The 23,995-nt window shown below is 35.9% G+C and overlaps 1 protein-coding gene across 3 annotated transcripts in view, besides 1 other annotated feature; it reads left to right on the top strand.

Annotated features, from left to right (window-relative positions):
* GPC6 (glypican 6) overlaps positions 1-23,995 on the top strand; it is a 1,191,492-nt gene that overhangs the window by 383,097 nt on the left and 784,400 nt on the right. The window lies entirely within an intron of this gene.
* Positions 15,678-16,182: an enhancer, noted in NCBI's record as "NANOG hESC enhancer chr13:94267556-94268060 (GRCh37/hg19 assembly coordinates)". NCBI's record gives its function as "activates a minimal SCP1, AML or CMV promoter by ChIP-STARR-seq in naive H9 embryonic stem cells {active_cell/tissue: H9 hESC(naive)}" and the evidence as "EXISTENCE:reporter gene assay evidence [ECO:0000049][PMID:30033119]".

The following is a 23,995-nucleotide window of genomic DNA, read 5'->3' on the forward strand; positions in this document are numbered from 1 at the left end:
AGCAGAGAGGGAAATAGCTCCCCAGCCCCATGTAGTGAAGATAAAGAATGTCTTCATAAGGTTTTATTTTTTTCACTGTTACTGTTTTTTATCTTTGATTGATAAAAATGAAAATGCCAAAATGAGGGTTAGCTTAATTTAAAGTATAAGCGTAGTTAGCAGCTTTTTCTAATCACTCCTGTCCATTTAAAAAATAATCCTCATAGGAGTATAAACAGAGGAAGGAGAAATGGAGGATGGGCTTAAGAGAAAGAGTATTTCACAAATGTCTGCATAGCAAATTCAATTCATCTACCTAGTAGCTCCTTCCATGTTAACCTACAGGTGTTCTCCCCTCCAAAAAAAAGCATCTTTTAGGAAGAAACCACCTTAACACTACCTTTAGAAGATTGAACTTCCAGGGATAGGTTGTTTGAGAGAATCACCAAAAGCCATTTTTAATGAATTTTTAAATTACGCTTTCTCATTCTTATAATAGTGTAGCAGCCACCTTCCATCTACTATGTAACTTATAACAAATAATCAAGTACTAAATTGAATAAATACTGTTATTTATCTTGTCTGGGCTAAACAGAAAGAAGAAATAAAATACAGTTACTAAGCATCAAGGATCACAGGACCTTCTATTCCAGTCTAGCAGAGGAAATTTACAAGATGCTAAGTAATTAATGCTAAGTGGCATGTTGCTAATATAATTACAATTGAGGTTTTCAGAGAACAGTAAATTCACCACAGGTCAAAGCATTTGTTGAATTGTATGTGGAGAAGAAATTGGAACTGTGTTTGGCTGCATCTTAAGTTACACTCTGGGAAGCTCATACTCATTTTTAGCAGGATTCTATGTTAAACTTTCTAAGAGTGGGGAAATACTCTATCTAAAACGTCTCCAGAAAAAAGTTACAAAGGATAAGCAGAGTCTGGTTTTAAAGGGGACACTCAATCTGGGTAGAAAGGTCTCTGAGTGAGTGAGTTAGAGAGTGGGTGAGTTGAAAAATGTGCTGCTAAGCAGGTTTATGTAACCTTCCTTTTTTTATTCATGATTTAAAAGTATGATTTCGGCTCATGCCTGTAATCCCAGCACTTTGGGAGGCTGAGGCGGGTGGATCACGAGGTCAGGAGTTCGAGCACAGCCTGGCCAACATAGTGAAATCCTGTAGCTACTAAAAATACAAAAATTAGCCAGGTGTGGTGCTGGGCGCCTGTAATCCCAGCTACTCGGGAGGCTGAGGCAGGAGAATTGCTTGAACCCAGGAGGCAGAGGTTGCAGTGAGCCGAGATCACACCATGGCACTCCAGCCTGGGCGACAGTGGGAAATTCCGCCTCAAAAAAAAAAAAAAAAAGAAAAAAAAAAAAACGGGGATATGATTTCTACATCCACCTATCTGACCTGACCTCACAGGGAAGCTTTGCTTTAGACTGATATGATCTTCACTAGAGGAAAAGACGAGGGGAAAACAGGAGCTTAAAAGAATTAAAACATGTTGGGGAGTGGTGGCTCACATCTGTGAACCCAGCACTTTGGGACGCTGAGGCAGGCAGATCACTTAAGGTCAGGAGTTCGAGCCTGGCCAACATAGAGAAACCTCGTCTCTACTGAAAATACAAAAATTAACCAGGTGTGATGGTGTGCACCTGAAATCCCAGCTACTTGGGAGGCTGAGGCAGGAGAATCACTTGAATGAGGAGGTGGAGGTTGCAGTGAGCCAAGATCAAGCCACTACATTCCAGCCTGGGTGACAGAGTGAGACTCTATCTCAAAATAATAGTAATAATAATAATAATAAAAACATGGGCATTAAGTATATATGGACCACTTACTTCATACTTTCGAATAGATGAGCATTTAATCCATCAGTTAATGGATTCTCCTCTGTATATTCTAATAACAGGAAAAGCATTCAGTTATTATCCCTTCTTTCTCACTGTTCCATCAGAGTCCTTATTACCTGACATAAAACCATCTCATGTTATCACCTATAGGCTAAAAAGCTTTGCAGTTCTCATTTGGCTTGAGGTTAATTTAGAGATTTATTAAACTGTGTTTCATTGAGTACCTACCATGGGTAGCTGGATGCCCAGACCTCGGGATATTCCAGTAGGTGAAATAATTGAGATGTATATGTATTTGTACACATATGTATCTGGCTTCTTCTCCTTTTGAGAGAGAAGTCTCCTCTCTCAATTAAATGTGCTATCAAAGAGCATGGCGATGGCAGGAACTGCCGAGTAAACTGTATTTTAAAAATCGTATCTGCATTTCAGCTCTTTGTCTTCTCGTTTCCTGCACTGCCTAAGGTCCTCTTTGCCTAATCTTTTTCTGGAGGAAATTTTTAATATAGACTCCTTGTTCCTTTTTGCTTTAAATCCTGAGATTGTAAGGTTTGGGAAAGTTAATGGCCCCCATGTGATTCACCTATAATGGACATTCTGTAGAATAAAATGTATCCTCATTTAAAAAATACATAAATAGAAAGGGAAAGGTACATTGTCAGTCTCTGTTTTGCCTGTAGAAATCCTTTCAAATCATGATTATACTCCTAGTCTATTTGACAACGATAAAATATTCTAAACTAATGGTTTCGAGCTCTCAGGCAAAACCAGATTTTTATTGCCAGAAAAAGTCCACCATGGCTCTGAAGAACAATTTTACATTTTCACAACCAATACAAATACTGTTTTGGGTACAAATTGAGGAAACATTATGTTTTCAGGGATCCTTTTCTGAACTTTCATGAAATATTAAAATGAAGATGACTGAATTGCAGTTTGATTATCCCTCATTGCCATTTAGAATGGGTGGATAATTAGTTTGGCATTAACCTTGAATGTGAAAGACCCTAGAAAGTCCAGCTCCAGGGGGTGCTGTTATTTTTCAGCATATTCTTCTACAGCCACTTTCTGACATCTTATGTAAGGGAAACTGAAAATCTTAAATGATTACTCATATAAATAATCTTGGGGGAAGATGAGATAGAAAGAATTGTAGAGAATACATCACCTTCTCTAGGAAACTTATTTTTCAGTAGTATTAATCAATCATGAAAAATATAAAATATGGATGCAAGACCCAAATACATACATGGCATACTTCTTTCATTATTTTATTTTAAAAACACTATTTAAATGCTATAACTTAGTACTTTCTCTTTTACTGACAAAGTCACAAAGAATAATTGTTAAGTACACACTACATGTCAAGAAATGAAAGAAAATATACATTTTCGGTTTCTAGTAGATCTGATACTAAAATTTAGAAATATACCTAACACCAGCTAAGTCCATGCAAACATTTAACTCTTTGTTGGTAACATTTTCCACTGGCATTACACAGGCCTGAGTGTCAGTATTATTTCCTTTTTCTTTTTTCTTTTTTCTTTTTCTTTCTTTCTTTTTTTGTTTTTGAGACAAGTTCTCCATATGTTACCCAGGCTGGAGTGCAGTGGCACCATCACAGCTCACTGTAGCCTCAACCTCCTGGGCTCAAGCAATCTTCCCACATTGGCATCCTGAGTAGCTGGGACCACAGGCACACACCACCACACCCAGCTAATTTTTTATTATTTGTAAAGACATGATCTCACTCTGTTGGTATGCTGGTCTCAAACTCCTAAATTCAAGCGATCTGCCCACTTCAGCCTCCCAAATACTGGGATTGCAGGCATGAGCAACCACGCCCAGCCTCTGAGTCAGTATTATTTCTTGTTAGCCATATTGCATCACTAAAGCAGAAAACTTTCAGACATGCATGTATATATTTTAGTATTTCAATTAGTTGTTTTAAGTATTTGGTGCTCTATTTAATACATTTGGTACATATTATATACCAGTCACTTTTCTAACAGCTTTCCATGTGTTAACTCTTCATAATATTTAACTACATAGGTATTATTGTCCCCACTTTGCAGGTGAGGAAACTGAGACATGGAGAAGTTAAATAATTTTTCTGAGGTCACACATCAAGGCTCCAGGGCCTGTGCTCATAAGCATCTCACTGCTCTATCTCTCAATTGGATAAAACTAATTGTGAAGTAAGATTAATATTTTATCCCATTAATTTCATGACTGACTTTCAAACCTAAGCATGCATACATGCATACAGGCAAATTAAAACTCAGGTGCTGCCAACAGATGGATAGTCATTCTACAAGGGGGACACTAATATCTCTATATCTAGATACGAGAAACAGATACTTTTTTAAATGTCTTCTCAAAAGCAGGTGAAGTGAGAAGAAGAATGCAATAGACATTTATCTATGTACTCTGATTAGAACATACTTAAACCAAAGTGATAACAAAAATCATTACTTGTATTTCTTTGCAAAAAATCTGGAATAGAAAAATGGCAGGAGAATACAGACAAAATTCTTGATTTTCAAATAGGGAAATGGGAGTACACTCTGTATAGACAAACAAATTTAATGCCAATCCCTTCCAAGAACCTCAAATGGATTATTAAAAACTTTGAAAGAAAACTGATGCATGTCCTCTGTTAATGTCTTTGGTTTACGTCTCTGAGGACAGAAATGTACTTTCTTTGCCTTTTTGAAAAGGCAAAGGGATTGAAAGGACTCAGCTGTTAAAGTAACAAATTATCAAGCAATATGAATGGCCATGGCACAGTCTACATAGGCTGATTTCACATTGTTATATACGTGACTGAGCATTCATTTATTCACTCATTCGACAGATAGCTATTGAGCTTCTTCCTTGCCAGGGCTTACACTTTCTGATTGCTGGGATGGGAATTCGATGAGGAAGGCCTTGCTTGCTACCAAGTATAGGAGATGTAGGAATAGGTAAATCTAGGTATAGACTTACAATCTTTAGCTTACAGAGTCTGTCACAGCCCAGTGGCAGAGACACTTCTCCTTTATTGTCCAAATCATAACATTTGGAGGTTGATGATCTTCTTTAATGCAAATATACAGTGAGGTACCTTTTTTTTCTTGGCCAGATATTTTTCATTATCGCTGCTATCGTCACTAATATCAGCCTTATGGAAAAATCGCAGTATAAGACATAGCAACAATAGAAGTACGCTCTCTGCACGATTAAAAAAATGAAAATAAAAACACTGAAAGAGTTATACGCAAATGTGGAGAAGAGCAAACAACCGTTTGGGAATCCATATTTCATTAAGAATTTATCAGTGCCTAGTGAGCATCCAGCCTTAGCACAGTATCCACCTCGTAACTGGTAGACATAAATACTTAGTAAAAGAGTGAGTGAATGAATAAACACAGGTGTTTGTAAGGCGACATTCTTGGAATACTGCTGCTGCTATATTTCAACTCAGTGAGGTTTTGTAAATTCAAAAACTTGGATTTTGAACTCAAGCTGCTTGGATTTGAACCCTGGCTTTACTACCTGCTATGCTGCAATTGCTTCATGGGGAAAAGAAGAAATGGCAATCCTAAAGGATGGATCCCTACCTTTTTTTTGTTGCTGTTGTTTTCATGCATTTCATGTGTGTTGGGCCTTCTAATTACAAACTAGATATCAGATAGTCAGCTTACTTCATCCAGTTGGTTTCTGCACAGATTATAGTGTAATGAAAAATACCTATTAACCTGCTTCTCTAATAATTTAATATCTGGTTTCCTGATACCATATTAATGCAAATCCTACAACTATAACTAAATGAGAGAACTATTTAGAGTAGATAAGTAAGTTACTGGTTAGAGGAAAGTTTTAAAACAATGTCTTCCAAATAAGGCATCATTTTTCCTTATATCTTAAGTACCAACAGATGAATAGTTATTGCACAAGGAAAACTAGCTAATTCCTCCTTTGATAGACTTTCTTTTAAGACTAGTAGATCTGCTGATTTCTATATCAGGATAACCTGGAGATCATTTTCAACCAATCAGAGACAAACTTTTCTCCATGATCAATAAGTATTTCTTGACTGAAAGAGTGAAGGCTGGCTGGGTGCCGTGGTGGCTCACGCCTGTAATCCCAGCACTTTGGGACGCCAAGGCAGGCAAATCACCTAAGGTCAGGAGTTCGAGACCAGCCTGGCCAACATGGTGAAATCCTGTCTCTACAAAAATGCAAAAAAAAAAAAAAGCCAGTCATGATGGCGGGTGCCTCTAATCCCAGCTGCTCAGGAGGCTGAGGCGGGAGAATCACTTGAACCCAGGAGGTGGAGGTTGGAGTGAGCTGAGATCGTGCCACTGCACTCCAGCCTGGGTGACAGAGCGAGACCGTCTCAATAAAAAAAAAAAAAAAAAAAAAAAGTGAAAAAGTTACATTACCATATTTTTTGGACAAGACTTTTGACAAGATATTTAACTTTTTGCTATTTCAATTTTTTGATCTGTAAAATAAAAGGATAATCATAGGGTTAAGAAGGACAGCTATATCAATACATAGATTGATGGAAATATAGAGATACATATAACTTAATACAGAGCCCAACATATATAAGCACCCAGTAAATATTACCTATTATTAGCTATTATCATTAGATCATAGGAAGTCAAGTTCCATTTTACTTTGTACTTGTCAAGTCAAATTTAAAATAGGTCTTGTTCCAAGCAGCTTATTTTAAGGGGAATATCAATAAAATGGAATGTAGAATGAGTGCACGGACAATGGACTCCATTTGAATCTAGTTCCTATCACAACATGTGCTGACTTTCAATGAAAATTTTTATGTGGGTTAATGGAAAGAAGACACATAGACACTAAGGATTTAAGCAGTTCAAAGTCTATCATGTGAAAGACCAAAGAAAGATGGTTTTTGATAGCTCAGATATACAGGTAAGGAGGGCAATCATATGTTCACATTTTCCTGGGCAGTCATCTTTTATGTCTGTGTAATCATCAATTAGTTTTTAACTGACAAAGGTATTCTTGTTTGGACAAGAAATTATATGGTTTGCCCACATCTAGGTTAAATATGTTGTAGTGCAGTAGAGGCACATTTAAGTTAACCATAGGACAGTGCACAAAGTATTTGAGGTGTCCAGTGATAAAGTCTGCCCTTTGAAGTTATGAGTTGATGTGATGGGAAATATTCAATTTAATACAAAATGATAATTCAATGCAAGGAATGATTCATTCACTGGATAGGAAGATCAACTAGATGTACATCATTACATCTATAATATGTAATCTAATAAATCCCAAATCTTAGTTTCTTTTGTGATCTACCTGCTACTTCTCTGTAAACAAAACAAAAACAAAACTATGAATTTGCATTCCCATTTAATCCAACTGTCAATCCTCTAAATGACCCATTTTACAAACAAATCAAACTCCAGCAGGACCTAAAAATATTAGAGATTTGTACTGATATTTTGCCATTTCTTTAATTTTTTAATACTTCTTGAATGAATATATAATTTATTTTTTAAAACAGGCAATATAATATTTTCTACTTCTTTTTTATTTCCTAATATTTTCAGGAGGACTTTCCACACTGTATTTATTGTACCTTCTCAGACAGAATGTCTTAGAAATCTATGATATAATCTGGCTTAATTATTAAGCCATGTCTTCCATTCTTATGAGTACAGACTGCTTTAAAATTTGAAATATCTGTATTATAAAGTCTTATTCGGATATGACATCTGAATACAATGTCTACTTTTATATGACTGTTACCCGCAATATATTTGTTTTTTGTTCTTCACAATTTGCTTTGGGAGCAAAAATAACTGGATATAAAAATTGCAATAAGGAAAATTATTCATATGCCAGCTGCTTACTGAATGCTTATGATGCTGAGGCACTGTCAGCTAAGCTCTGGGGGTGGTGCAGCAGCAGTAAACAATGCCAGGTCCTTGCTTGCATGCAGCTTACATTCCATGGATTGTAGAAGATTTGGAAAGGGCCTTGCCCCACATCCCTAAGCAGGTCTTCACCCAATAGGTTGAATTTTCCTTCCTTGTATTCCTGCAGCACAGAAACACCCCCGTCATTACTGAGTATCTCTCTAACAGGTAGTGGGCACATACCCTGGGGGGAGACATGGCAGAATGATGGTGGAGGTAAAAAGGTTTAATGCCTGTTGCAGTAGGAAGACCCCTCGGTCAGCTGGATGCACTCCTTTTGGGGCCAATAATGCCTTACCCTTTAGAATAGCGTTCAATTTTCACAGCCTTCATCACCACTGCCCTGTGTGGCTTCAAACTTCTTCTAAACCTCATTTCCTTTAACATTATGGGCATGTGCTCCATCTTTCTGGCCCCTGCTATACACAATGGGACTTACCAGTATCCCACTGTCACCTCCCTGCAACTTCTGGGGATAGTGTCACCTCCCTGCAATCCTGGCTGCCACCTGCCAGCATCCTATTTTCCTTCCAAATACAACTCAAATTCTGCCTTCCTTATAAGGCTTATTTGGTCTCTTCAGTGATATTCTTTTCTCTCTTTGGAGCCACTCCTGTGGCACTTGGAGTATTTTTTTTTCTAGTATCACTTATGGCATTGTATATTTTATTACAATTTTCAATGAGCTTGACTGATTCCCAATACTGTAGCCCATTAGCCTCAGAAGGCAGAGTCCAAGTTGCCTTTCTTTGGTCCCACTAAAGGGTCTAGTGTATTGCCTTGAAAGTACTAGGTCTTCCAGAACTTTTTTTTTTTTACAGAACAAATGCATCTTCTGAGTTAATATTTATAAAATGTGTTTCCATTTACTATTCAATTACTGTTGTATTATTTTTCATTCCTATACCTTAATTCCCACATTTTTGTATTGGTTGTATTTCTTATTCTAAAGAGCATAAAATACAAAAGTAAATAATATGTGTTTACCATTTAGTTCAAAGAAAAGGACAATTAAATGAATAAACTTTATTTTTATGTATTTTAAACAATTTATATAATGTGAAGTATTTTAAGCAATGTGTTTCTTACATTCCAGTTTTTGAAGATGGTTGCTGAAATTAGTGTTAACATTCACTTTCAATCTTTTCATGTTGACCCAAGCTATTTGAGGTCCTCTCTAGCAAGCTTCTTAAGATTACTTACCTCTCCCTCTCCACAACAGTCCTCAGATGGCATCTTTTAAATAAATAGTCCTAGAAAAGAAGGCAAGTCCTAGAGAACAGTCTAATTCCTGAGGAAGTTCTGTGCAACCGCTGTCCTGCCACGTTCAGGGAGAGGATGGAGGTGGTGTGTGAGAGGATTATAAAGAAACAGAGAAGTAAGAAGGAATGTAGTAAGTGTGTTGAAGTCAATTCTGCAAATGTCCCCAATATCTAATTCCATATGGGTCTTTGAGATTCAAACTACTGCTATTTTAGCTCATCTGAGGCCAGCATTTATGAGTACCTACTATGTCATATTTTGTAACAGGCTAACTATACCATTATGAATAAGATGCTATGGTCTATGTTTGAGTATCTATTGGTAAAGGCTGACACATAAATAGATACTGGTGCAAGCTCTTAAGCAACAAACTAAAGCGTAATCCTAGATTTCTCCCATTTACTTTTATTTTTGCTTTCAACCCCACTCCCATCCAATCAGTCCCCAGGTCCTTATGATCGTCTTTCTTATTATCTCTCAGATCCAGGCCTTTTCTGTAATCTCTTTGCCACCTACATTCTTTCTTCATCTCTAACCTGACTTTGTTGTTGTTGTTGTTGTTGAGATAGAGTCTTGTTCTGTCGCACAGGCTGGAGTGCAATGGTGCAATCTCAGCTCACTGCAACCTCCGCCTCCCAGGCTAAAGCAATTCTCCTGCCTCAGCCTCCCAAGTAGCTGGGATTACCGGCACACGCCACCACACCCAGCTATTTTTGTTTTGTTTTGTTTTGTTTTGCTTGTATTTTTAGTAGAGACGAGGTTTCACCCTATTGGCCAGACTGGTCTTGACCTCCTGGCCTCAAATGATCCGCCGGCCTTGGCCTCTCACAGTGCTGGGATTACAGGTGTGAGCCACCGCGCCCAGCTGCTAACCTGAGTTTCTGTAGCAACTTCCTAACTGATTTGCTTGGCAATGTGTTGAAAACCCTCCCCACTGTTTTTGGTTTTGCTGCCTGATTGATCTCCTAAAAATTCCTATGTGACTTGTGTCCCCACCCTGCTTAAATTCTCTAGTAGCTCCTCTTCCCCAGCCTCACCAGATGGAAGTTTATGCTTATTTTCTTATTTCACTTGGCTGTCATGGATCTCATTTCTTCTTTCTGTCTCATCCTCTACTATTCACCCCTCTCCATAGACCCATCCCTCCCTTGGCTATTGGAACACCTCAAGCTGGTTGTGGCAGTTCTTTTTGTACCCACTCACAAGACTGTCTTATGATAAAGCAACCGACAATACTTTTGGAGTCTGGTTTTCCTTTTTGATTCTGATAGTGTAGTAGATTCTATTCAGTACCTCCCTGCCTTTTCTAATTACCTGTGCTCCCCTGAAGCATTTCTCTTCTGCAGCTGTTTCCTGTGACCCTGTCATATGGCTGCTGAATGAGGACATGGATGAAAGAAGTCATTTACATTTTGAGCACTTCCTGGTTGAGCCACCAATTTCATGAGATACAATATCTTCCCTGTGGTGTGATCCCTTTGGATATTTCTTTACACTCTGTTGTAGATTTTACGGAAAAAACTTCGTAAGTTTCAATTTTAACTAGATGGAGGGGAGGACAGTAGTGATTCAAAGAAGCTAGAAGTTGTTTTAAAAGCAACTGACTCTCTCAACATCAGAGTTTGGTTCTGATCAATGATATTTCTAGCATTTTTTGCCACCAACTTACAGAAAAAGATGTATTTTACATCGCAACCCAGAATGTGTGCGTAGGTGTGTTTATGTGTAGTCATGAATTCATTTATTCAAGGAACATTCACTGAGCACTCACTATGATTCGTACTGTGATACTATAAGCACTTATGTTCTAGTCAGGGGAGATAAACAATAAACAAGGGAAGCGTATCAGGAGATGATAAGTGATCTTAAGGTAAATCATGTTGGAGGATATACATATATACACACATACATGCATATACATATATACACATGCATATATTATACACCTATATGTTTATATGTACATGTGTACTTATATATGATTATATAATATACATATCCATTACACTTATATTTTATATACATATGTACCTACTTACATAAGTAATTGAAAATAGCTTCATAAAATAATACTTACCTTGGCTATGGATAATGCACTGTGATTTTTTTTTCTTCTGTTTTCTATTTCATTTAAAAAATGCTGATTGCAACTGACTGGATTGATTTTATGACACACCAATTCACTGAGACTTATGATTGGGAAAACACTCATTTAGTAAGTATAAAATGTATCACCACAGGTAGTCAATACCTTTACAACTGGGCAGATAAGAGATATCAGAAATTTATGACGATTCCCATACAATTAACACTACACAACTATTGCACAAAAGTCCATATTTTATCAAACATCTCATTTTGAGTCAGACTAACTTAATTTTGTAATCTTCATCATGTTTTCCTGTTTAAAAGAGTCTAAAATCTCACCACTTGCAAACGAAGTGAACATTTTTATTAGTACAATTATGTAAGAAATTACTCACTCGAGTACTATATAAACTTTGGAAAATCTTTCCATAGGGTAAAATTCTGGCTTAACTTTTGAAATTAAGGCAATGGTAAAATTTAGACAATGATATTGACTTCTTATTGGAGATTGTGGCATGTGAGGTAGTTACAACTTTGACAACTGAATTATATCTCCACTGTAGCATATTAAGGTTAGGTTAAATCTAATTAACTATAATACCTATCATTGAAAAATTTCAGAGTACATATCACCTAAAGATTAATAAAAGAAGAAGTATATATATGTATTTTCATATTTTCCATATTGTAGTACAGATGTATTTTATTTTTAAAAGCACTCAGTACAGAGCCATAAATTATTTTAGCATTTTAGGGGACATTTTTAAATGTTTTTAAAATTCTAAAGCTTTGTTCATTTTATTAGCAAAATGTAGTCTCATCCCAGTTTTGATAAACCTGGATAGATCCATGTTGATATTAAAATGAAAGCCACAGTCTAATCAATAAAGTGATTCATCAGTTGTGTAGAACAAAGTAGTACTTTTGCTTTAAGAGGCTTTTTGTTGTTGTTTATCTCCTTTAGCGGATATTTTCAGATAATACATAACTTTGCTTTTATGTTTATTCTAAGAATAATAAGTCATCATGCCACATTTGTGGGTGCTTTTAATTTTAATAATAAAGTAATTATGCAAAGCTAACTATGTAAACATTAATTTCTGACATGATTGTTTAGATCTATTCTTTATGAGGTTACATAGGGCAAATTTAATTATTGATAAACCAGGTAGCTAATAAAATTAAACTCACAGTCATTGTCTTTAAAGGTGACACATCATTGCCAGAGTAGCTACAAACATAATATTTCAAAATTTAACATAAGTAATATCCAAAACTGCTTAGTAAGGATACTAAATAACTGAATTTGTCATGTTTCCAACCACGTTTATTGTAATTACATGCAAAATATATAATACCTCCCAAAAAATAAATGATGATGGTTTACGGCGTAAAGTGAATTGTGTTGCTATAGTTTCCTTATTATAGAATAAAATAGGTTATAAAATACTTCATGTTAGGCTGGGCGCGGTGGCTCACGCCTGTAATCCCAGCACTTTGGGAAGCCGAGGCGTGCGGATCACGAGTTCAGGAAATCGAGACCATTCTGGCTAACATGGTGAAACCCTGTCTCTACTAAAAATGCAAAAAATTAGCCGAGCATGGTGGCACGTACCTGTTGTCCCAGCTACTAGGGAGGCTGAGGCAGGAGAATGGCGTGAACCCGGGAGGCGGAGCTTGCAGTGAGCCAAGATTGCGCCACTGCACTCCAGCCTGGGCGATAGTGCGAGACTCCGTCTAAAACACACACACACACACACACACACACACACACACACACACACAAACTTCATGTGGCATTTGTGCAGTTTTGGTTAGAATTCTACTGTAATAAAAACTTACTGGAAATCAGAGGTTAAAATAGAGGGTTACAAATATTCAAGTCTCTCTTCTCCAAATAGGGAGTAAATTAGGAAGTGCAAAACTGCAATGAATATATAGGTAATGAAGAAACATGGAAAGAAAAAATAATTTCAGATGAAAGTCTATTCATTTTTAAGATGATAATCAGGAGATTAAAGAATATTTTTCCATCATTCTTTCTCTTACATACTTAGCAAAGGTATTCGTATGTGTGTCAATTGTTGAACTTGGTTGTTTATACATTTAACAGCTTATTTTTAGGTGGGAGTATTTGAGGTAAAGACAAGATAAATGAGGGAAACTGCTCCTAGATACCAGGGTCTGTACAGACCTTTAAATGACTGTTATGCTGGAATTCATTGCCAATGTTTTGCCTTCTAAGTGTAACCTAACAGTTGTGAAGAGTAGAATCCTGTTCACTTTAACTCTCACTTGCTATGTGACGTATGTGTTCTTATAATGGCTTTCAAAGGAGCTGCCAGTGATATGTAGAAAGAGTGGGCAAGAACAGAGGTGTACGAAAATTAAGGCTGAAAGTTGCATTGGCCCCCTCTTTACTATCTCTTCCTTTACAACCAATGCCACTAGTCTCTGGCTCAAGCACTGCAAACATTGCATAAAGAAATGAGTAAAACAGCAACAATAATAATCAGATTTTGTAATAAATTCTTAATTTATACCTGAAACTTGGCTAAGTGATTGCTGTGGATTATTAGGACTAAAGGTGGTGGGGAGTCTGGGCTCTGAGTATTGGACGTAGGTAGCTGAGAGTCAACAAAGTCTGAATAGTGAAAATATTTCTCTCACACAGTGACATTCATTTTAAGACTATATGCATTTAGTCACATTAACCATCTCTTTCAATCATTCTCTGTGACAGACAAGCAAACACACACACACACACACAAAACACACACACACACACACACACACACACACACATTCAGAAGTGTGGAGGTTCCATTGATGTCACTTGTTTGTCCAGTCCTTGGTCAGTGAATCTCTAGAAAGGCCACAGTCTTTTCATGTTCATGGCTTTGTCATTGCTCTCCATTGAGTCCACTGGATGAACTTGCTTCTTGCTCCATCTCAGAGTCCATAAGAATATGTCTTTGCAGAGGACATTTAGGGGAGGGAATGTGTTACCAATTCATTTCCAGGCCTCAGATCTCAACTAAGGTGTTTTCAAGTCCCACAACCCTGGATGTCACTTCGTAGAGGGCCAGTCCTCCCTAAAATGTGGGCTTTGTTCCTTAGTCTACAGTAGGATGCAGAAATGATGTTTCTTTTCATGGTGGCCCATAAAATTTAGAAATTGCCTGGATTCCAGTCAATTTAGAACAATTGGTGGGCAATTGACTAGGTCACACATCAATCTGATTTGGCAGTTACTGTGGCCAAAAACCTCAAATGCTGTAAAGCTGTCAGTCTCACTGTACATTTATGTTCAAGGAGGAATAGACTTTATTTTCTCCTCAAATATGTTTTGATTAGACAGCAAATTATCGGAAACCATGTCAGAAGCTCACTATTCTCTACTACCATGTTAACATAAATGTTATTTTTCTAGATACAGTGAATCACTGTGTATTACTCCTCAAAAAAAATTTTTAAACTAAATGACAATACGCTAGGCCATAAAATGTAGTATTATACCATCAGAGAAGACTTTCTGTTATATCTGTATACATTTTGATGTATGTATCCCAAAAGAATTCAGGTAAAGTTAATATGGTCAATGTCGTTGAATGGTTAAGAACATGGGTTTACAGATGTCTAGGTGCAGACTCCTCTACCACATGGAAGGGCAAATTACTTTACTTCTATGTATCTCTGTTTTCTCATCTGCAAATCAGGTGTAGTAATAGTAACTAGCTCCTTGGGTGGCGGTGACGATTAAATGAAGTGAAGAAACCATGGCTGGTACATAGTAAGCATGAGCTCAGTCAATGTGAGATGTGGTTTTTGTTAATATGAAATAGCTATAGCCAAAGTCCCCAAATAGTAACTAAAACAGTATAGTATTATCAATCCCCCTATATTTTTTTCAAATTATATAATTGTTTGATATTTATCTTTTATTTATTTACCCAAAAGGAAAGGGTGCTATAGAAGATCTCTTAGTAAAATACTGAAAAGTAAAGAAAAATACACCATTCAAGCATAACACGTTTTGTTTAGAAAGTTAAAATATTTAGCAAAGACAGAATATGTTCCTAAATGGAGTGAGGAATCTTGTCCTATTTGTTTTATTTTTTATCTTGCTCATTGCTTTTTTTTTCCTCTGAGTATACTTGGGTTGATGATCTGCTTTCTATTTATATCATTACTTACTATGTACAATTTAATGTATTAGCCATCATGATATCATGGGTATGAATAAGGTCCTGGATTCCTCACACATTTCCAAGTGCAGACTCCAGCTGAAACAGAACAAAGATTCAGATGTTTAATAATATTGTACAATTTTTGTTTTCTTTAAATTTTTTCTCAAAAGTTTACTTTCTAAGAAATCAGTGTAGACCAATAAAAGTTTCCTGTGGTGGAATTTGGTTGGTATACTTCCTAGAATTTAACCCTAACCAGGTTTTCTTTCAAAACTACTGAGAATCATTTTATTTACAAATAACAATTATATGAATTATCAAAGAATTTTAAAATTAACATAACTTTGTCCAAAGTCAGTGTCTCTTCCTGTTATAAAATTACTTGATCCTATTAAGAAATTCTGAATTGCAACATCTGTTTGTTTTTGTTTATCCCTTTTGTCGAGAGGATTCATGCCATGATTTTCTTATTACATTTTTAATAGATATTCAGTGAAAAAGGTAACTGATGCCAGGCAGTTTATGTATCAACCACATCTATCATGCCTTTTCCTCCTTTGTCCTACCTATTCAGTTGTTAATGGGCTATTTGGGCAGCAGCCACACAAACGCTTTCACATAGATCACGCATCAACATAGTTATCCTGGAAAAGAAAACACCTGAACTATTTATTCACATGGCATTTTCCTTGAAATTTCTAGAACAACTTTTTGTGAATAAGGACCTCAATCTACCCATTTACAAGATGTGTTGTATGAGCTGTAAATGTTACTGGGGTGTTGTGAGTACAGACTTGGCCTTGGTTCCACAGTGTCCCCTCACTTTCTCTCTAAGCTTTTTCATTTATCAATTCCAATCGCCAAACTCAGATACTAAAAATTCTAAAACTCTCTGAAAATACTTAATATGTCTGTTGCAATGACTACATGAGCTAACATGGATAATGTGTAGTGCCTGGCACATACTGCTCACTCAGTAGTAACTAAACTAAAACAAGAATTACAAATTGGGAGGCAGTGAAATCCTGATTTCTTCATTTGTATACCTAAGTATTTGAAGAAGGATTCTCTCAATGTAAATATGTACTTGTACGTATTTAAGAATACATATGTGTTTTAATTGCTTTTCTTTACCTAAACAATTTGTCTCTTTAGTCTGTCCTACTTTCACTGTTTGGGGAAATAGGTAAGAATTTGTATTAAAATCCCTCTCAGAAAGGCTATTCTATTCTCATTTTTCCTTTTAAAGAACAAATACAGCTAACTAGCACATTCAAAATAAAAAATTGAATTGTTATGTAATTCAGAATATAAATAGGAAGACTATAATGAAATTTTGGGGAACAGAGGATGTACGAATACTTTAATGGAAATTTATTGGAGATGAGAAATTATGAAATTCACAGTCTTTACCATTCAAAGGGAAGTTGTTCATCTCTTACAATATGTGCGATTAGATCATTGATACCAGTTTGTTTTTTCAACAGAAACAATCACCTTAAAACTTTACATTCGGGGTAAAACACATCTGGTAGAAAAATCAACTTAGTTTCATTGTTTAGGGTTCCAATTAGATGATTAAATACTTTCTCTGGATTTGCAAGAGTCAAAGAAACAGGTTACACAGAGGGTAAGAAAAACTCCTTCCTGTTAATAACACAATGTTAGAAGGTCCCTTACAATGTAACTAAAAAATGCTCAGGCAAGAACCATCCTAAATAATATATCAGTCATTTCTTGAAGTAGCAAGTGTTGCCTTAAAATAATGTTTTATGAATACCCATAGATTAAAGAAACACAAACAATTCCCACAACCAATCTGTGAACACATTTATGAGGTATGTAGAGCTAGTTATGAACATTCAACACCATTGACGTGCTCCTTTTTTTTGAATTATAAGTAATGATTAACTTTACTAAAATGCCTATGATATCCTCTAGTGTGTGATCACTTAACCAAAAGGAAATAACACATCATTGTCAGGTTTCATACTTTACAGTTTGTTTTTTCTCCTAAGATGGATTGAATGTTTTAACCTCCTTTAAACTACATTACCTTTAAAAACATTGTAATAATCTTAGGTTCAGAACTGGAACTGTTTGAAAGGCATGCCAGAATTAAAGTTATATTTAGGCCACACCAGAAGAGCACAGAGGTTACTGGAGTAATATTGAGGATGATGATAGGAAGACAAAGAGGAGAAAAAATCCTGTTGAAGATCTTAGTGATACAACTTCCCCATTGCTAATGATTTGCCAAATAATTGCTATTCAATTGTTACTTAAAGGAAATTTATAATTAGAAGGAATATTAGATATATAGCCCAGGAGTTTTCCAGTTTCTTTATTTAGTTGTGTAAATCTAGAATTAACTCTTTAAACTCTGTAATGGAGCCTTTGTCTGCCTCATTCATCTCTCTATTTCTGGCAGCTAGAAAAGCTCTTAGTACAATGACTGCTCAACAAATACGTGTTGAAAGCAATGAAGAGAGAGATATAACTTAAATAGATAAAGCAACATTTTTCTGATCAGAGCAGGTTGAGCAGACCCATCTGCATGGTAGCTCAGAAGCTTTCTGAGGATGTTAAGAAGCCCCCTCGGACACACATACATGAAACTCTGTGCTCTGCAATTTGAAAATCACTGGGTTTAATTCTCTCATTTTATGTATAAGAAAATAAAGCTGTCTTCTGGAATCCCAAGTTTCAATATATATTTTTGTAGCTAGGTACTATGTATTTATGGGAGTTGGAAAATAACATTCTATGATAAGCTTATGGGCCATTTTGTTTTCAGAGAAATTATTTCAGGAAGACAAATCATAAGAGAATACTCTATAACCTATTTGCTCTGAATCTAAATGGTTATAACACATGCCTTAATAATTTATACTTCTAACAAAAATATGTAATATTCTTTCAAAAGTCAGGTGTGTTATTCCTTACATATACTAAAAACAAATCATGATTACTGTAATTAAATGTAGGAAATAGCTTGCTGCCCATCCATTATTAAAAGGAGATTTGTATTTCCCATAAAAAATTTAATCTGGCTCTGGTTCTCTAGGGAAAAAATAATGTAGAGAATATACATGGACATACATACAGGACTGTACAAAATGTAAAAGCAAACATTTACCTTTCCTCCATGTATTAGAAAGCTGGCTAATGTTTGTAAATTACCTAATTTGATTGACTTCCATAGTCACCAAATTTTCTTCACCAATATTTATTAAGCATGGATCAAATATTTTATATATAAGTACACATATGTATATTTATGTATGTATGTGTTTATGTGTATAAACAAAAATATATACATGTGCAAGTATATATACATATATGTGTATATATCCTAGTAAGAGAAAATGATAGGTTAGTAAATTGATCATTAAAAATCATATAAATCAGCAACTGTACACCTACTTCTGCCCTAGTATGAATTTTTCAATGAAATCAGTGAGCCTCACATACTCATCTCAATCAGAATCACCTCCACATTTGTACAGGGCTTAGGAAAGTGGAGCAAAAGTGCTTTGATAAAATGTGCAATTAGGGAGGCAAAGATCAAGGCTTTAAAGAGAGGGCTTAGCAAAACAGATGTCCAAGGAGCCTCAGTAAACTCAATGTCTCTAATTACACTTTGGATGGAAGAAGGTTGAAAATTCATGCCTGGCAGAACTCTCGAAGTCTGTATTAATCTTAAAATAACTTGACAAATTTATCATGCTTCAAATATTTTAATTAACTCTACTAGGATTTATTGAAAATGTATCAATATTAATTCCATGAACTGGAAAACATCAGCATATGTTTAAAAATTAAGGTATACAAGGATTTATATGTTTCAGTAGCAACAAACCATTAATTATAGACATGCATTGCTTAATGATGGGGATACCTTTTGAGAAATGTCACCTCAGGTGATTTTGTCTTGTGTGAACATCGTTGAGTATACATCTACAAACCTAAATGGTATAGCCTACTCCAAACCTAGGCTGTATGGTATGGCCTATTGCTCTTAGTCTACAAACTTGTACAGCATGTTACTGTACTGAATACTGTAGGCAACTGTAATACTGTGGTAAATATTTGTGTATCTAAAGATCTCTAAACATAGTCTCATGGGAACACCATCATATATATGATCTGTCAATGACAGAAAAGTCATTATGTGGTACATGACTGTATATCTGCACATCCTTTTTGAAAGAGATGTTTTGAATAGTTGTTTGGGGTTTTTGTTTCAGGATAACATATACAACTTGTGCATAGGTAGATGAGTTCAGTGAAGACATCCTGTCTTCTAAGGATTTTCCTAAATGCACCAAATTTATGAATAAGTCAGTCTACTTTATTTTTGTCTTTCATGTTTTGCTTCTCACATTGACTACATGGATTATTTTAAATAAAAGGGAACTGTTTCACAGCTGTAAACCTGAATGCTCATAGTAGGTAATTTCAGAACTAAGGAAGTGTCTATGTTCTTTACACTTTTTTGTTGTTGTTCTGTTTTTATCTAGAGACAGGGTTTCCCTTTGTCACCCAGGATAGAGTTCAGTGGCGTGATCATAACTCACTGTAACCTTCAACTCTGGACTCAAATGATCCTCTTGCCTCAGCCACTTGAGAAGCTAAGACTCCAGATGCACCCCATCATGCCTGGCTAGTTTTTAGAAATGTTTTGGAGAGATGGAGTCTCTTCATGTTGCCCAGGCTGGTCTAGAACACCTGTGTTCCACCCTCCTCAAACTCCCAAAGTGCTTGGATTATAGGCATGAGCCCGGCCTAAATGTTTTTATAAAAATATATCTTACAATTTTGTATTATTTGTGTTTTTTGCTTATATATACAGCCAGTGTTTTGGTGTATGAGTGTATTATTAGAATGTACTTCCTATTTTTTTTGTTTTCATAGTATAGCAGAGTACTGGTCTCTTTTGATATAAGGCATGAAAATGGCAGTTTTATATAATTGCTCAATTATATATTAAATACATTCTAAATATTTTCACTATGTCTGTGATACAGATCAGATGTTAAATTTATTTCTACATAAGGATGAGTTTCACACTTAAAGATTTCCTAAACTGCTGACTTATCATGTAATTCTGAAGGACTTTATGCCTTTTCTAAAGCATGTACTTTGACGTAGAATCTCATACATAGCCAGACTTTATATTGTTTTTGGATTTTCACAAATCGTTTAGTAAGATGTTCTCTGCCAAAATATATTGCATTCATAATCTTAAATCCATGAGGTACACTTTATTCAACAGAATAAAAACCAACTATTTTGTCACCATTGAGTCAGTGTAACTGATTAACACATTGTTCTCATTGAAACATATGGCTAGCTCATAATTAACTGAAAATAATTCAGTGGCCTTGTCTGGCTTTAAATCAAGTAATGTTCTACTTGAGGCAGCCATGGCTGACATAATTTACTATGTTAGTTATATTGTAGTTTAAATCATATCAGTTCATTTCCTCTCTGGTATTATTCTTTCCCATCAAGTTCTATTTCTTTAGCTATAGAATGCCTCTAAGCCACATCTGTGTTGGTCTAAGTCATGAGTAAACTTTTTAAATAAAGTGTGCAAAATGTGTTCTTATTTATACCGAAGATGTTTTCAATTACCATTAAGTTCATTGTTGGTCTGATGTTAGCAGCTTAAATATTTGAAGCCGCTCTCTGGAAATCAGACACACATCCAAATTCTAAAAATATGGTAGATTCTTCATTTTATTGTGGTTTTCTGAGCAACTGTTGATTGATTGCACAAAGCAGAATTCCCTTTGATGAACACAGGTTTAGTCAGAATGCTCTGTGTGGGTTAGTATCTGTTTCCCTTGAAATTAACCAGTCTCCCCATTCCCAACCTTTCTGCCACCTTAGACCTTTTCTTCATGTACCACCAACGAGGCCACATCCTTCACCTATTTAGATGAGTTAGTATTGTTTTTCATCTCATTGGGCTGCACTTTTTTGTGATATCTTTTCCCCCCAGTATAATCAATGAGTGTTTATTGAATAGCTAGTTTCTCTGTGCTTATTTCTTTAGGTTCTATTTGATGAACAGAAAATTTGTCCACTGTAACAGTTATGGTGGTGACGAATTGCAATAAAGATTTATTTCTTGCTTATGCTACATGAACACTATGGGTGCAGGGGAAAGAGGGTGAGGTTGGTGCTCTACTCTCTATAATTACTCAAGAGCCAGGTTGCCAGAGCCCTCAAGGCTCATCTCAGAAAGGGAAAAGAGCAATGAAGAAGTTGCCTACCTGTTTCAATGTGGTGACCTGGCGGTGATCCATGGCACTTGTTGCAACCTGTTGGCCTTCACCTTACTTAAAGGGAGGCTGAGAGAAAGTGAGGGCATGTAGAATGTTTTCTGAACACCCTGTCTTTGCTGCATTCCTTGAGTAGTTTGTAATTTTATTCAAATAAGACCATAAAAATGGTATTATCCTTTATTAAATCTTGTGGTAGCCATGTTTCTCAAACTTGGTTGATAATAACTTGGATGTGTTCTCCAAAGTGAGACTCCCTGGCCATACCCCAAACTTACCAAATCAGAAGTTCCTGGGTGGAGGACGGGGAATCTGGATTACTAACAAGTTGCTTATATGATTAATATTACACTTCAACTTTGGAAAAAACAATATAAGCATGTTCAAAAATATAGTAATAGAGTTAGGGAGAAGTAAATACTTTTATAACTATGTCCGACCTTAGGATGGGAGATCTTGACAAACTCTGAAATGAAGCTACCCTCTTTCTTGAATTTGATGCAAATATGTGTACATATTTATAGGGAATATGTGGTATTTTGTTACGTACAAAGACTGTGTAATGGTCAAGTCAGGTTATTTCAAGTGTTCATCACCCTGAATATTTACCATTTCTCTGTGTTGGAAACATTTTCAGTCCTCTCTTCTGGCATTTTGAAATATGCAATACACTGTCATTTGTCACCCTATTCTGCTATCAAACCTTAGATCTTATTCCTTCTATCTAACTGTATGTTTGTACCCATTAACCAACCTCTTTTTCCACCCCAGCTGCCACCCAGACACCCTTCCCAGCTTCTGGTATCCATCAGTCTATTCTCTTCCTCCAACTTTTTTAGTTCCCATATATGAGTGAGAACATGTGTCACTTGTCTTTCTGTCAAGCTACACTCTTATATAAACCTCTTGCTGGTGTCACACAGTTGTACATATTGCATCATAATACCATGCTCAAAAATATGTAAAATGATATAAGTTGCTAATGCTCATTGAGAACTCAACTATGTATTAGGCATTGTGCTAAGGACCTTAATGTTTAACATCTCACAAAGTGGGTCCTCTGATGAGCATTGCATTTTAGATAAGGGAACTCAAGCTTTAGGAAGCTTATGGATGAGTAGTATTCCATTGTGTATACATGCCACATTTTTTTCAAGGGAACAGAAAGGAAAAAATAATAAAACACCACGTGTGTAAGTGTTCCCTTTTCTCTGTAGGTTAAAGATACATGAAACCAATTTCAGTCTCTCTCTCAAGCATATACACACCCACACAGACTTTTCCTCTTCTTAAATCAGAGACTGGAGGGCTACATTTTTCTTAATGATCTTCCTCTGCTAGCCCCAAGGACTAAGGCTATTTATTTATTTTTAGTTTTATTTTATTTTAATTGACATGTAATAAGTGTACATATTTATGGAGTACAATCTAATGTTTTAATACATGTATACATTGTACCATGATCTAATCAGGGTAATTACATTATTACCTCAAAGATATCATTTATTTGAGGTGAGAACATTCAAAATTATATCTTCTAGTTATTTTGAAATATACAATACCACATTATTAACTACAGTCACCTTACTGTGAAATAGAGTACCAGAACTTATTTCTGCTATCTATTTGTAATTCTGTACCCATTAACCAATCTCTCCCCATTCCCCACTTCCTCCTATTTTCCCCAGCCTCTGTTAACTACTATTCTACTCCATACTTCTATGAGATTAGCTTTTTAATATTCTGCAAATGAGTGACATCATGTAGTATTTGTCTTTCTGTGCTTGGCTTATTTGATTTAACATATTATTGTCCATGTTCATCCATGCCACCACAAATAACAGGACTTCATTCTTTCTTATGGATGAGTAGTATTCCATTGTGTATTCATGCCACATTTTCTTTATTAATTCATCCATTGATGGATACTTCAGTTGACCCTATATCTTAGCTATTGTGAATAGTGCTGAAAAAAAAAATAATAAAAAGCCATAGGAGTGCAGATATCTCCTTGACATACTGATTCCATTTCCTTTGGATAAATGCCCAGTAGTGAGACTGCTAAATCACATGGTTATTTCACTTTTTAAATTTTTTGAAGAACTTCCGTAATGTTTTCCATAATGGCTGGACTAATTTACACTCCCACTCGTGTGTAAGTGTTCCCTTTTCTCTACTTCCAGGACAATGGTTGTTTTCTTTTCTTTTCTTTTCTTTTTTTTTTTTTTTTTTTTTGAGACGGAGTCTCGCTCTCTCGCCCAGGCTGGAGTGCAGTGGTGCATTCTCAGCTCACTGCAAGCTCCGCCTCCTGGGTTCAAGCAATTCTTCTGCCTCAGCCTCCCAAGTAGTTGGAATTACAGGCACCCGCCACCACTTCCA

The sequence above is a fragment of the Homo sapiens genome, chromosome 13 (assembly GCF_000001405.40).
Source record: "Homo sapiens chromosome 13, GRCh38.p14 Primary Assembly".
Taxonomy (NCBI): domain Eukaryota; kingdom Metazoa; phylum Chordata; class Mammalia; order Primates; family Hominidae; genus Homo; species Homo sapiens.